The sequence below is a fragment of the Homo sapiens genome, chromosome 16 (assembly GCF_000001405.40).
Source record: "Homo sapiens chromosome 16, GRCh38.p14 Primary Assembly".
NCBI classification, from domain to species: Eukaryota; Metazoa; Chordata; class Mammalia; order Primates; family Hominidae; genus Homo; species Homo sapiens.
Genome location: NC_000016.10, coordinates 29,790,644 through 29,805,444, shown reverse-complemented (window position 1 = coordinate 29,805,444; position 14,801 = coordinate 29,790,644). Strand labels below are relative to the sequence as shown.

Genomic DNA, 14,801 nt, shown 5'->3' with positions numbered 1-14,801 from the left:
CCACCCCGAGGCGGTCACACCCCGGTCCCGCCCCCGCAGCCCCAAAAATCAGGCGGAAGCACCGGAGCAAAAACTGTATTTACACAACACGGGGTTATACAAAAATTTGAAAAGGCGGAGTGAGGAGACGACGGTCAGGAGGCGCCACAGCGCTGGCCGGCGGCGAGACCCAGGATGTTTGCCTGCAACACAGGAGGGAGGGAGACAGCGACGTTAGAGAGGGGCGCGGGGCGCAGGACAGGCAGAGGAGGGGCAGGGCCGTGACTTCACCTTCAGGAAGGACTCCATCTGTTTCCCCGTTATGCCCTCCACGCGTTCCAGGTCCTCCACCTGGCGGGACAGGATCGATAGGGGACAGGGTCTCGGGGGTACCCGGTCTCCCCCGCCCCCGCCCTCCCCCAGTCCAGTGGGCTGCTACCTGGCTGAAGGGGCCGTGGAGCTCCCGCCAGCCCACGATTAGCTGGGCCTTCTTCGGGCCAATGCGCTGAAGACTGCGGAGATCTCGGGCTGAGCCTTCGTTCAGCAGATCCAGTATTTTTTGGCGCCCATGAGCCAGTAGCTCCGGGCTGATCTGTAGCTCCCAGCAGTCCTCAGCCTTCTCCTCAGGCTCTAGGGCATCCAGGGACTCCAGCTGGGAGGCAAAGGGAGATGAGTGACACGCAGGGCAGCCAAGTGCTTTGGGCTCCTCTGCCAAGACTAGGAGCCCAGCACCAGCTACCTCCTGCGCTCCAGCCTCTTCCTCTCTTGTCAAGTGTGTCCAAAATCCCGCCCTCAGGTCACTCTCTGGGTTAATTCTTATTATGCAACTAGTGAAAGAGAGGTACTACTCAGTACCCAGTGGTAATATTAGCACCCTTCTCATGGAGTTGCTGTGGAGATCAAGTGAGTTAATGAATGTAAAGCACAAAATAAGCTCTTAAATCTGGTCCCTCATCTCTAAAAGGGAAAGAATAAGCTGTCTTTCAAAAAGTACATGGGAGAAAGTAATATGAATAAATGATACCTCCCCCAACCATCTCAGTTTTTGGGTAGTTCTAGTGGTGTTCGATTCTGGGTATGTGCATATGTGTGGTTTCTTGCTTGACTGCTTAGGTCATAGTTCCCTAAGTTTTCCCTCTTAAGCTTGTAGAGGGTAGAAGCCAGGCTACACAGTGGAACATCCGCTCTGCGAGGTACATCCACATCACTGCCTTCCACCCTAAATGCCCTGCAAGGAACCATCCATCACCACATTCCAGGGGTAAGCAAGTTGAGGTCTGTTAGTAGCTGGCGGCCATCATCCAGTTCGTTTAACCCCAAGGCCAACGCTCCTCCCCCTAGAGCCTACTCCCCCTTACTTCTGGGCTCCAGGTGTAGCCTAAGCCCCCAGCTACTTTCACCTTTCTCTTCCGGCCTTTATTCTTCAGGATGTGGATCTCGGCATTTGGGGATGCTGCCTGCTCCTGAACTGAAAGTAGGAATCGAGAATTGGAGTCAGGGCAAAGGGTACTTTTCACCCTCCCTGGTAGCCCTTCGATTCTTCCATTTCTGATTCCCCAGCTCCCCTCCATCCAGAGTTAACCTGTTGTGTTTCCACATGACCTTTTTTATACCCGCATTTAAAGGAATTTCAGTCAGTCTTGCATTATCTTCAATCCTCTACTCGTTTGTCCATCCCACTGTCCTAAACACCCGAGGGCAGAGCACCCCCAGCACTGCCTCAGAGCCTCCTCACCCCTCCCTGGGACTGGTATGTGGTGGGAGAATATGAATGACATGGAGACAGCTGCTCCTAACACTTCCTCCCTTATAGGATCTCAGCTGCCTTGGCCCCCCAGCCCCTGGAGTCAAACTTACTTAGCTGTAGGGGCATCACCACAGCCTTTTTCAGGGGCTTTGCCCCTGTGACTGTGCGATGTGAAAGGGGCCGGAGCATTGTGGGACAATGGTTCTCCTTTTCCTCAGCCTTCTGGGCCAACATCTTGGCCTCCAGTTCTTTTTGCTTCGTCTTAAGCCTCTGTTGGAAAGGATCAGGGAGATGTGATCCAGACCCAACTCCAGGGCAGCCTGAAGGGAGTGGGTTACCAGGGTGAGTATGCAAGGCTCTGAGCCCCCAGAGGGCAGGGCTAGGACCAGTGGGAGGTTACCAGGAGACAGGTGGAGCCTAACATAATTAAGGGCTTTCTGTGATTAGGGGGCTACCCAGAGGTGGAACAAGCCTCTGCAAATATTGAAGGGAAAGGCTTTTCAAGCACAGTCCTCAATTAATTGAGCTGGGCTTTAGGAAATGTAATGTTTAACATTTGTTGCTTTTACTTTGAACTTTTTCTTCTCACCCTCACATCTGGTCTCAATTGTCTGTCAAAGTTCAGCCATGTTAAGGACATTCAAGCAGAAGCTGGAGAACTTCCGGTATTGGGAGAAAACTGGACTCTAGTCCAGCCTGAGTGTCCTTCCCTGTCTGAAGATCCAAGGATTGCTTCTCAAGGCCAATAGGAATCCAGCTCCCACATCCCTAAAACACGTACCTCAATCTCTAGGTCCTTCTCTTCCACTGTCTTCATTAGCACCATCCGCTCTCGCTTTGGGGTACTCAACAGAGGGGCCCCCTGGCTCCCCTGGGAGGCAAGCAGACGGTCCAAGCTGAGGAGGCGCTCCAGCATGGCCGGGTCCATGCTGCTTAGCTTCTGTAGGGGGCTGAGCAGAAAAAGAAGTTGCTCCCCACCTACCTCCTCCCTCATCACCACCTACAGCAGCAGGACTCCCCTCACCACACCTTAACTTGGTATATCCTGTAGCTCCAGAACCTAATGTTAACTTGCTAGGCATCCAGTTTCTCTGGGTGCAGTGTCTTCATCAGGTGAAGTGACTGCTCGGGGATGCCAGGAAATCAGGCGAACACTTGAGTGCCAGGTATGAGAGACCTAAGACACTGCCCTGCCCTGGAGGCACTGTCTACTGAGGAAATCAAGAGACCATAATAAGGTGACAGCCAGGACAGTGCCTATCCATTTGGAGGAGCAGTTGCGGAAAACATCACAGAGGATGCCATCTTTAGCAGGGCTTTGAAATCCACCGAAGACCTCAGCTGCCAAGCTTCCCTGCTGTGGGCAGCTGGGAAGGCCTGTTCAAGCAGTCCTGACTGACTCTGAGCACGGTAAGGCTTAACATTCTTTTTTTTTTTTTTTTTTTTTTTTTGAGACAGGGTCTTGCTCTGTCACCCAGGCTGGAGTGCAGTGTTGAGATCACAGCTCACTATAGCCTTGGCCTCCTGAGGCTTAAGCAATCCCCCTGTCTCAGCCTCCTGAGTAGCTGGGTCCACAGGTGCATGCCACCATGCCCAGCTAATTTTTTTATTTTTTGTAGAGATGGGGTCTTACTATGTTGCCCAGGCTGGTCTTGAACTCCTGGGCTCAAGTGATCCACCCACCTTGGCCTCCCAAAGTGCTGGGATTACAGGTGTGAGCCACTGCGCCCAGTCAGCAACGTCTAACATTCATTTATTTTGCCTGGAATCTTGCCCCACACCTCCTCACATCTGTATCAATAATCTTTCCAGGTCAGTTTGATGCCACCTTTCCCATGACGCCAAGCTTAACAATGCATCTCCCTTCCTATGCTGTGAACTGGCTCCTGGAGGACAGGGACACTCCTGTGCTTTCCATGCTAGTGCCTTGGAAAAACAGGATCAGAACATACGTGGGCAAACACTAGAAGTCATCTCTTCCTTCCTGACTCTCACAGCAGCAGCAGCTACTCCTTCCTGATTCTGAATTCTCCACCTGGTATCATATACTGATGTTCCCATCTGACTTGCTCTCCTGTGAGGCCCCCAAGCTCTGGGTCTGCTGGGTTTGATGTGCCCAACTCTGAGCTTCCCCTTACTCAGAGTGCCTGTCTGACAGCTTACCTGTGCACATTTCTGGGTGCACACAGCAGTGGGGAGTGCTGACAGATGGTTTGGGAAAGACAAGACTGAGAGATGGGGTCATGAGTGCACAAGCATCTTCTTGTGTGTGGCATCTTCCTTAACTACAGTAGCCCCCTGGGACAGAGTGGGCACTAACCCTTGGCCACCTCAGGTCACCTCTGTTTAGTAGTTCACAGGCTTTATTTGGGCTAGGGGTAGAAACAGGGCAAAGTTAAAACTGCAACTGGCTCCTGGGGGGTGGAGGGAATAGCGCAAGGGCTAAGTGGCCAGACACAGAAAGCAAGACCCCTGAACAGAGATGACCTGAGGATTAGTACATACTGGGCCATGAGGTGGGGTGATTGGAGTTGGGGCAGGAGGTGACACAAAGGACTTAGTTTAGAGGCTTTATCTGGATTGAGGGTAGACGCAGTTAGGACAGCAGCTGGCTCCCCGGAGAGTCATGGAGAAGCTGGGCACTGACACACAGACCAGATGGTCTCAGCAGGACAGCTCTTCCAAGTCTCCTTTGCTTTGCTCTCATGGATCTGAAAGATCTGATCCAGATCACTCCTTGAACCAGAAGCAAAAATGCTCATCCTTGAAACAGCTGTCCCAAAGTGAGAAGTTTTGCTGAAGGCTAAAGGGGTTGGAAAATGGAAAGGATCCCCAGGAGGAGGCCTCCTTAGGTCCCCAAGGCAGCAGCACTGAGGAGAGATTAATCTTAGACTTTAGTGATTCAATGGAGTAGAATTTGGGGGGAATTTATTTATTTACTTATTTATTTATTGAGATGCAGTCTTGCTCTGTCACCTAGGCTGGAGTGCAGTGGCATGATCTTGGCTCACTGCAACTTTCACCTCCCAGATTCAAGCAATTCTTCCTGCCTCAGCCTCCTGAGTAGCTGGGATTACAGGTGCCCACTACCATGCCTGGCTAATTTTTGTATTTTTAGTAGAGATGGGGTTTCACCATGTTGGCCAGGCTGGTCTTGAACTCCTGACCTCAGGTGATCCACCCGTCTTGGCCTCCCAAAGTGCTGGGATTACAGGCGTGAGCCACCGTGCCTAGCCAGGGTTGAATTCACTTATTTACTTTGAGACGGAGTCTTGCTGTGTCGCCCAGGCTGGAGTGCAATGGCCACAATCTCAGCTCACTGCAACCTCTGCTTCCTGGGTTCAAGGGATTCTCCTGCCTCAGCCTCCCAAGTAGCTGGGATTACAGGCACATGCCACCACATCCGGCTACTTTTTGTATTTTTTAGTAGAGATGAGGTTTCACCATGTTGGCCAGGCTGGTCTCGAACTCCTGACCTCAGGTGATCCACCCAACCTCAGTCTCCCAAAGTGCTGGGGTTACAGGAGTGAGCCACCGCATCCGGCCTAGGGTGAATTTAATGGGAGAGGAACAAGATCACAGCTCTCTGCTCAAGGATCTGACGGGCATTGCAGCTCTGCTGCTAAGCCATACATCAGGAAGGGGATACACCCAAGGCCCCACTGCTCACCTGAGTTTCTGGGAGGCAGAGGCTGGAGCTGCCATGGGCTCAGGGCTCCCGATCTCCTCTTCCTCAGGGCCTCGGGCTCTCTTTGCCTCTGGTGGACCAAGCAATTCTTTCTGAGACAGCTTAACAGGTCCCAAGGCTAGATGATTGGAGGATGGGGTGGAGAGAGGGATTGGGGGTGGTCAGCCTCTGTGCTGATGCTTGGTGGTTTCAACAAACTCCCTAATTTCCAGACCCAGCGTTTCCACTCCTGCCTCCCCCAGTTCTCACCATGAGGCTGCAGGCTCTCATTGGTAAAAGGCCGATTGATCACCTCCTTGGACCTGGCAGCAAAGTTGAGTGCGGAGACTGTGTCTAGGTAGAAGCGTCTCTCAGGGGCAATGTTGGCAATAAGGATACTGTGGGCTGAGCCACCCAGAGAGTCCTGAGGGTGAGACCAGGCAGTGGGTGGGTCAGAAGCCCAGCCTTCCTATGCCTCAACTGCTATTCCCCACCCCACAGCAGGCCTGAGAACCTCCTTCTGCAGCCCCTTCTTCCCTGAGACAGGTGGGCCTGACCTGCAATAGGCGAGTGAGCTTGCTGTCCCGATAAGGTACACGAGGGAGGCCCTGATTCAGCGCATCTACCACTTTGCCCAGGACAAACAGGGAGGTGTTGATGGCTCCACTCTCTTTTAGCCGAAGGCCCTTGTTGCCTGTGCGCCGGTTGTCCTCTGACCCAGCCAAGTCAATCAGGTAGAGTTTTCCCTCTCGCTGGCGAAATGGGGCCAAACGTTCCCGCTGGTCCACCTGGGGGTAAGAACAAAGGTCTCGTGCTTAGCTCAGGCTCCTGGGCTTCCCAGGTCCTCGCCCCTGTCTGCGGCCTCACCTTGACCAGGAGCACAGCATGACTGCGGGAGGAGCGCTGGTTGAGCCGGGTGGCTCCTACAGTCCGATTTCGACTGGCTGGCAGGAAGTGCCGCTCAAAATCAGCAAAGCTACTGATGGGCTTCTGGGAGAGACCCGGAATCAGGATATTCCCCCGGCAGTCTTCTCGGATTACCAGGTCTCCCGAAGCAGGGTCCAGGAGGTCTAATACCTGTGTAAGCAGTGAAGGGGAAGGGCAATTCTCCATAGAGAGGCTGTTTCTTCCTGGGGATCAGTTTCCTTTCTCTGTTCTATTCTCGGAGTTGTACCATCTGCTACCCCAGTCTCTGTCTTTCTAGGTCTCACCTTACCTCCCTGCTACAGCAGAGCTTCATGTTCTAGAACCAGGTCTTACTTTGACCCTTTGTTGCTCCTCTCCCAACCAGCACGGGGCCTCACCTTCTCCTGGTAGATCTCTAGGTAAGACATGGTGACAGAAAGGGCCCATGGCCGGCCCTCGGCACCCTCCTCCCTTGTGAGCTGCAGGAGGTCCATGAGAGCCCGCGGGATCACCCCAGGTTGCTCTGGGCTGCCCAGCATTGTGTGCGTCTTCCCTGGGAAGAGAGTGGAGAAAACTGTGAGGTTTTCCTCTCCGTTTCCCCAGCCCTTTCTGACCCATAGCTGTTTCTTTTCTGGCTCCCTCACCAGCTCCTGTGGGTCCATAGGCAAGCACACTGGCATTCTGCCCTTCCAGCAAGTGCCTTAGGATGGGCTGCACTGAACCTGCATAGATGTCCTGCTGAGTACTCCTCTCCCCATAGAAGGCATCAAACCTGCAGGAAGAAAGAAAGAAATTAGCGTGTGTGTGTGTGTGTGTGTGTGTGTGTGTGTGTAAGGGGTGGAGTGGGGTGGGGGTGGGTAAGGGATTCTACTCTCATCTGGACCTTGGATTTAAGAGAACGTCTCTATCCCCTTTCTTGTACAAAGACCTTAAAAAGCATCCACCTAACACCTACTCCATCCTCATCTCTCTATTGGTGTTAGGAATACAGAGATAGATCTGATATCCCTGCTCTTGGAGTTTTTCAGTCTGGTAGGATAGATATCCACACTTTGCTGTGATTTAGGAAACGAAGATAAGAACACACTCTCAAAGGAGTAACTGATTCTGCTCAAGGAAGGAAGATTTTGACCAAAGAAAGAAATTCTGAGAATCAAGAATAGCAAAAAAGCAAGGCTTCCCAGTCTTTTTCAAATGGCTACATGTGTAGAACATTGTATTTTACACCATAATGGGGAAAATAGAGGATGCTGCTTATGACTGAACTAGACTCTACATACCAATCACCTATCCACTGCGTTCTGGTGGAGAAGTGCAGCTTAGGCCACAGCAGGGAGTTTAATATATATTGAGGGAATGAGGCTGGAAAGAAACTGAAGCCCAAATTGTTAACGGCCTAGTATGGGAGCTAGCAAACTTCTGTAAAAAGGCAGATTGTACATATTTTAGGCTTTGTGGGCCATGTGTTCCTTTTACAACTACTCAACTCTGCCACTGTAGTCAGAAAGCAGCTATAGACAATATGTAAATAAACGATAAAATTTTATTTACTGAAAATCTTACTCCTGATCAGATTTGACCTGCAGGCCATGGTTTGCCAGCCCCCGCCTAGAAAAACAGGCCAAGGAGTTTGAACTTTAAATCCCCAGTAGGATTATAAAGTAGCTGCCCTTCTGAGTTCTGTCCCCAAATCTGGGTGGTCTTCTCTGACACTACCCAGCTGCAGCTTGGGTAGGCTGGCTGGCAGGTCTGTGTTCCGCCAACCCTCCTGATATGTCCCCCAGCCTCTACTTGGGGCTCACCTGCTCACCCTCATTGCTCCTCCCTCTCTGTGCACAGTAATGTATGTTTGATTCAACCTCTCATCTCTCCCTACAGTATCCCAGAGAGGGCCCATCATGGGGGCACCTGTCAACATTTCCTAAGTGAACAGTGAAGGCTCAGGGAACAAAGCGGTGCTAAGGAGGGAGCAAGGATCCTGGGGAGGCAGGGGAACGTGGGCAGGCCTAGGAGAGGGAGGTGATGGCATGAGGGAAGAGGAGTGGCCTGAACCTTACTGGTATTTGAGAGTCTCCTGGTGGTTCCTCCAGTTAGCAATCTCTAGAGAGCAGCTGTCCATGCCCCGCACACAGGGGGGATCACTTGCTCCCGCTGTTCCATCCACAAATGGCCGCAGTCGCACAGCCACCCTTACGCGAGCTGGAGGTGGACGACGAGTAGCTCCAATCTTGCTTAGCCGACAGCGACCAGCTCCTGGAGGAGAGAAGATCACTTTTAGACATGAAGTATGGTGGTAGCAGAAGAAGCAGGGACCAACTTTGCTGGGCGGGCTGGGGGCCACAGCTCATGTTGGAGAAGCTCATTCTGCCCTGGTCATGTTGTGGACACCCCTAAGCTTGGCCTCAGTGCCTTCCCTGCTCTACAAGCAAGTGCAGCAGGTGTATAGCAGGCTTCTCAGACTGTAATGTATACACAAATAACCTGGAGGATCTTGTGAAAATGTGGATTTGGTCTCCGTCTCCCTGGGGTGATGCCCGAGATTTTGCATTTCTAACAAGCTCCCAGGTGATGCTGGGCACTTAAAAAAAAAAAAGAGAGAGAGAGGGATGGAGTCTCACTAGGTTACCCAGGCTTGTCTTCAACTCCTGGGCTCCAGCGATCCTCCTACCTCAGCCTCCCAAAGTGCTGGAATTATAGGCAGGAGCCACCATGCCTGGCCCAGGACATGTTTTGAATTGCCAAGGGTGAAGTAGACCAGCACCTCACAGGGTTGTTCTAAGGATTAAAAGGGTTGACATCTGACCGAAACCTAAACCAGAGAGCGAACTGCCAGAATTTTCTGTGTGTGTGTGTGTGTGTGTTTTTTTTTTTTTTTTTGAGACAGTCTTGCTCTGTCACCCAGGCTGGAGTGCAGTGGCATGATCTCAGCTCACTGCAACCTCCACCTCCCAGGTTCAAGCGATCCTCCCACCTCAGCCTCTCGAGTAGCTGGGATTACAGGTCCCCAACACCACTCCTGGCTAGTTTTTGTATCTTCAGTAGAAACAGGGTTTCACCATGTTGGCCAGGCTGGTCTCAAATTCCTGACCTCAAGTGATCTGCCTGCCTTGGCCTCCCAAAGTGCTAGGATTATAGGTGTGAGCCACCCTGCCCAGCCTGTACCTCCATTTCTTAACTGGGGTTTCTAATATGTATTGAGACGTATGTATACTCACAGACCCACCCACCCCTGCAAACTGTTAATGATGATCTTCTCTTGATGGGGAATTATGTGGGTTCTGCAAAAACCACCGACATGCAATTCTTCTCTCATGTAAACTTAACCCTGAATTTGCTTCAGATGATTAAGTTTTTTTTGTTTTGTTTTGTTTTAGAATTGGCAACTGAATTATTTTTATCATCAGAAAACACAATGAAGATAAAACTTAAAAAAAGAAAAGCCCTCTATTTTTGTGGGGGTTAAATGAGCTGAAAATATCTAAGGAGAGTATTACTCTATTTTACGTTGGAGGATAACATACTGTAGCTCATAGTGGAATTCAAACCTAGATCTCTTCCCCTCTAAAAATCTGCTTTTAATAGGATGCTGTATTGCTTCCTTATTATGTACCAACTGGGAAAGCTCCTGGCAGCTCTTTCCCTTCCTTGCTGGTGGTAGCAGCTGGTTGCTAGGAGCCATAGGCCTCGCAGAAGGCAAAAGGCTGGCTGGTATACGTAGCCAACACAGAAACAGCAAGACGAAAAGGCAGACAGATGACCCCTACAAAGAATCTTACACCTAAGTAAGGCATGCCCATAAGCAGACGGGCTGTTTCAAAAACTGAACCTCCATTCCATCATCTGATAAATGGGGCTACTAATACCATTTCTCACGTTATGGTAGCAAAGCGCTTGGACATCTAGTTCTCATTTGTTCCTCATGGCAATCCTGAAAGTCAGGAGCAAGCAGGTAAAAACCTGCAGATGCATGTGTGCAGATAGAAAACTGAGGTGCACTGACTTGTCAAAAATATGTGCAGGACCTTCCTCTGCCTGCTTTCACAGGATGTTTTGGGAGAACAGAAAGATGGCAGATGTAGAAGCACTTAAGGAAGCGCAGTGATCAATCTAAGGGGAAGGGGAAGTCAGTAATGAGGTAGAGTGTAGACTCTGGTCAGACAGAAGTGGACTTCAATTCCAGCTCTGACATTTATTAGCTTGTGACCTTGGACCTTGGTTTCCTTGTCTGTAAAATAAGGTTGGGGGTGGGCCTTGGGCTTTTTGAGAATTTGGCCGGGCGCAGTGGTTCATGCCTGTAATCCCAGCGCTTTGGGAGGCCAAGGTGGGCAGATCACCTGAGGTCAGGAGTTCGAGACCAGCGTGGTGGTGAAACCCTGCCTCTACTAAAAATACAAAAATTAGTCAGGTATGGTGGTGGACGCCTGTAATCCCAGCTACTTGGGAGGCTGAGGCACAAGAATTGCTTGAATGCGGGAAGTGGAGGTTGCAGTGAGCAGAGATTGCGCCACTGCACTCCAGCCTGGGTGACAGAGCAAGACTGTGTCTCAGAAAAAAAAAAGATAATTGAAATAAGTGCCAGATAAAGTGGCAGCACAGTGACTAGCACATAGTAGGTAGGTTCATCATTCAAGGTAAAATGGCCTGGGTTGAAATCCCAGCTCTGCCATTTACAGCTAGCTAAGTAACCTAGGGAAATTATTTTCCATCCCAGTGCCTCAATTTCCTTACCTGCAAAATGGGAATAAAAATACCTCTTTGTTAGGTTGTTAGGAGAGTAATTAAGGTGATTCATGTAAAAGTGCTTAGAACATTATCTGGTATTTGGTGAAAGGCCAGTAAGTGCTTTTTAATGTCCGTCTCCCATTTTCCAGATGAGGAAACCTCAGTATAGAGGGGTTAGCTGACTGACCCAGGGTCAACAGCTAGTGACTGACAGCTTCAAATGAAGATCTAACTCCAAAGTGCTTTATATGAACCCTCCTCAGCCTCCTTAGCCCCTTCATCTTTGCATCTCATAAGAATGTGAGGATTCAAAGTAATAATGTACATACAATGTTTAGCACAGTGCCTGGCAGCAACTGCTCAGTCCTTAGCTGTTATTATTACACCCTTTCTCTTGCTACCCACTCCTCCATCCCTGCAACTTGCTTCTGCCCTCACTATTCAGCAGGGTCACCCATGACTTCCCTAGTGCTAGATCCAGTAGGCATACTCAGCCTCAATCCTGTTGGACCTCCCAGAAGTATGCGACACTCTTGGGAAACACACTTTTCCCTTCATTTCCATGCCCCCCACCTTCCTGGTTGTCTTACCTAGTTTTCTGTTCACTCCTCATCCTAGGATCCGTCTATCCTTTCTCTAGACCAGCATTTCTCAACTTCAGCACTACTGACATTTCGGGCTGGCTAATTCCGTTGTGGGGCTGTCCTGTGCATTTAGACTGTTAGCATATGCTTACTAGATGCCAGTAGCATTCTCCACCCTCACCCTCAAGTTGTAACAACTAAAAATCTCTCCAGACATCTCCAAATGTCCTGTGAGGGACAAAGTTGCCCCGAGCTGAGACCACTCAGATTCATTTCATAGGCAGGTCACCCGCCCTCTTGGCTTCAGTAACATCTTACAGCTGATAAGTCCTATTGCACGTTCTGCACAAGAGCTCTCAACTGCAGCCCACGTTCTGAACGGCTGCCCTGACGGCTCCTTTTTTTTGAGACAGAATCTCACTGTCGCCAGGCTGGAGTGCAGTGGCGCTCTTGGCTCACTGCAATCTCCGCCTCCCGGTTCAAGCGATTCTCCTGCCTCAGCCTCCCGAATAGCTGGGACTACAGGTGCACGCCACCACGCCCAGCTAATTTTTGATTAATTTTAGAGACAGGGTTTCACCATGTTGGCCAAGATGGTCTCGATCTCTTGACCTCGTGATCCACCCACCTTGGTCTCCCAAAATGCTGGGATTACAGGCGTGAGCCCAGCCGACGGCTCCTCTTAAACTCCACCTGTCCTAAACTGAACCCTCCTTCCCCATCTCTCTGCAGCCTCCTCCTTTGATCTCTGATGTAAATGAATGGCACCAACCCCAAAAGTGGGAGTCTTTAACTCCAACGTCTCTTACCTCCCACATCAGTTCATCATTAACATCTGTCAAGTCTATCTCTTTAAATCTCTCTTGAACAAGTCCACTTCTCTCCACTCCCACTGCACTACCTCTGCCCAAGGTCATGGTCTTTACAGCCTTCCTTGCTGGTGGTAGCAAGGTGTCTCCCTGCCCTCTAGTCATTCCCTCTGTTTCCTTCCTTGCAGTGTAAGTTACCAGTCATGATGAATTTCCTTCACTTCCTACAAAACTCCAAGTTCTCTTGCACCTTTGGATTTTTGTCCACGTTAATCTCTCTCCCTAGAATATCTGCATTGCTCCCCACCCCACCCTGGAGTGACTAAGGTAAACACATTTTAACTCCTCTTAAAAAACAAAACCAAAAACCCTTTCCTGGTAGACACTAAGGCTTTATCAGGTGCAACCACAGCTCATGTTAGCCCCTCCATAAGCATTTGTCACACCCCACTATTGCGTGTTTGTCACTTTCTCCACCTGACTGCCAACTGTGAGAACAAGTTTTATCCTGCTCACCTTTCTAACCCCAACACCTGGCGCAGAGTAGGCCCTCAAGAAGTATTTGCTGAAAAAAATTAAGATTTAGTGAATAAACTACTAATCACTGGCTTGTTCATTTCCATCATGAAAATGGCTCACGGCCATTCCTGCCCCAGGGCTCACAGTCCAGGGTAGGAGGGAAGAGGGGAGGGCCACATGTAAACAATTATTTACTGCACAAGAGTCTAGCCCTTTCATGATAAAAGCAACCTTGAGCTTGGACCAGGCTAGCAATTATTAATTTTCCCTTCTTTCACAATTCCTAAATTTCATTCACTCTTCTCCCTTTTATTGATGAGGAAATTGAGCTAAGAGAGCATCTTACATCATAAATAAGAAAACACTTGCTGTTCTTGTCTTCTTAGTCAAGGCCTGGCAAACTCCTATCCAACCTTTGAAACCCATCTCAAGTATCATTCACTCCCTTAATGAAGTCCTCCCAGAATACTCAAGGGCTTACTTCAGATTCCACACCCTCAGTTTATACACATCTCTCATTGTGTTTCGTATTACATCTACGTATGTGACACTCTATTGAAACAGACTGTAAATTCCTCGAGGAAGGGACATTATTCATTCAGGCATTTTCATATCTACCATGCACCGGACACAGTGCATCTTCGAAGGGTAAGGGGAGACTGTGCTCAGCCAGCAGGGATAACATGTACTTGGGCATAATGGTTAAGAGCAGAGGTTCTACACTCAGACTCCTTGAGAGCGAATTCAAGCCCCAATATTTACTAGTTGTGTTAACTCTGAACAAACTAACCTCAGTTTCCTGTGTAAAACAAAGACAGTAATAGTAACAACCTGATAGCATTGTGTGGACAATAAATGGTTCACCACCATAAAATGCCTACAACTGTGCCTGGCACATAGCAAGAGCTCTACATGTGTTAGGCATTCTCCTAAATGTCTGTTTCCCCACGAGGCTAACGAGGGCTCCAGTGAATTACTATGGCGCTCACCATCATCACTAACGAGGATTAAGTCTCCGGGTTAGAGAGGCACATGTAAACAAATACTCACATACAAGATTTTGGGTGTCCTAACAGCCTTTCCAACCCTAAAATAGCATTCACTTCCATGCTAGAGTGAAAGGAAATTTTAGTCTTTTATTTCGTTTTCCTGTAATCGCAGAGCATCTTACGCTGCCAACTCAAACCCAGCAGCAGCCGGGTCTGTTCCTCAGCCCGTCCTCTTGCATCTCTCAGGGATGTCTCTGCACCCAAACACCATGTCCCACACAGAACCCTTCCCAATACACGCCTCCGGCTCCCTTCTTCTCGTCCTCGTGGCTAGAGCGTCCGCCACTCTTCTCTTGCTTATTCAGGTGATCTCCAGGGATGAGGCCATGACCCCCGTTTCACAGACGAAGAAACCGAAGCTCACAAAGAAAAAGTGCGCGGGGTTCAAGCCAAGAGCCTGGACCGGAGACCCGAGTCTACTGACCCAAGGGGAGAGCAGGAAACAGGGAGAAGGCAGGAGCCAGGCGGGGCGACCGGCTCGCGACCCCACACTCTCACCGTCCCCCTCTCCCCGCCCCTGCGCCATGGCCGCCTCTCCGCGACAACCCGCAGAGCCTGGACCACACTCCGACACATAACTCCCACTAAACTCCAGACGTCGGTACCCGCCTTGCCCAGGCCGGGCTCAAGTACCTGAGATCGCCGCCGCTGAAGCTGCCGCCATCTCGCGTCGCCTCTGCTGCGTCGAGCCGCCCGCGGCCATTCCACTCCCTCCTTGGGCCCGCCTCTCCCATTCGAATTCCCCGGTGCCCCGCCCCCTCTCCCAGGTTCCACCAATCAAGACTACGCGCCGCCGGAAGCTGCTGCGTGTGGGTCGCC

General features: G+C 50.4%; 1 protein-coding gene across 5 annotated transcripts, besides 1 other annotated feature; it reads right to left on the bottom strand.

The window, feature by feature from the left end:
* Window positions 60-14,694, bottom strand: KIF22 (kinesin family member 22). 5 transcript variants are annotated; one of them, NM_001256269.2, is made up of 15 exons: window positions 14,616-14,694; window positions 12,931-12,979; window positions 8,357-8,552; window positions 6,944-7,071; window positions 6,698-6,852; window positions 6,261-6,470; window positions 5,951-6,181; window positions 5,664-5,817; window positions 5,397-5,532; window positions 2,508-2,676; window positions 1,837-1,996; window positions 1,380-1,447; window positions 419-631; window positions 271-330; window positions 61-182 (listed from the first exon to the last, which is right to left on the bottom strand). In NM_001256269.2, the coding sequence occupies exons 3-15, from the start codon at window positions 8,416-8,418 to the stop codon at window positions 135-137; spliced, it is 1,794 nt and encodes a 597-aa protein (NP_001243198.1). In that variant the 5' UTR covers window positions 8,419-8,552; window positions 12,931-12,979; window positions 14,616-14,694; the 3' UTR covers window positions 61-134. The 5 variants fall into 5 exon arrangements, with proteins under 5 accessions (NP_001243199.1, NP_001243198.1, NP_015556.1 ...); NM_001256270.1 differs by lacking the exons at window positions 12,931-12,979; window positions 14,616-14,694 and adding an exon at window positions 14,224-14,477 and having other exon boundaries at window positions 60-182; NM_007317.3 differs by lacking the exon at window positions 12,931-12,979.
* Window positions 366-415: a silencer, noted in NCBI's record as "silent region_7334". NCBI's record gives its function as "represses an Ori minimal core promoter by ATAC-STARR-seq in GM12878 lymphoblastoid cells {active_cell/tissue: GM12878}" and the evidence as "EXISTENCE:reporter gene assay evidence [ECO:0000049][PMID:35858748]".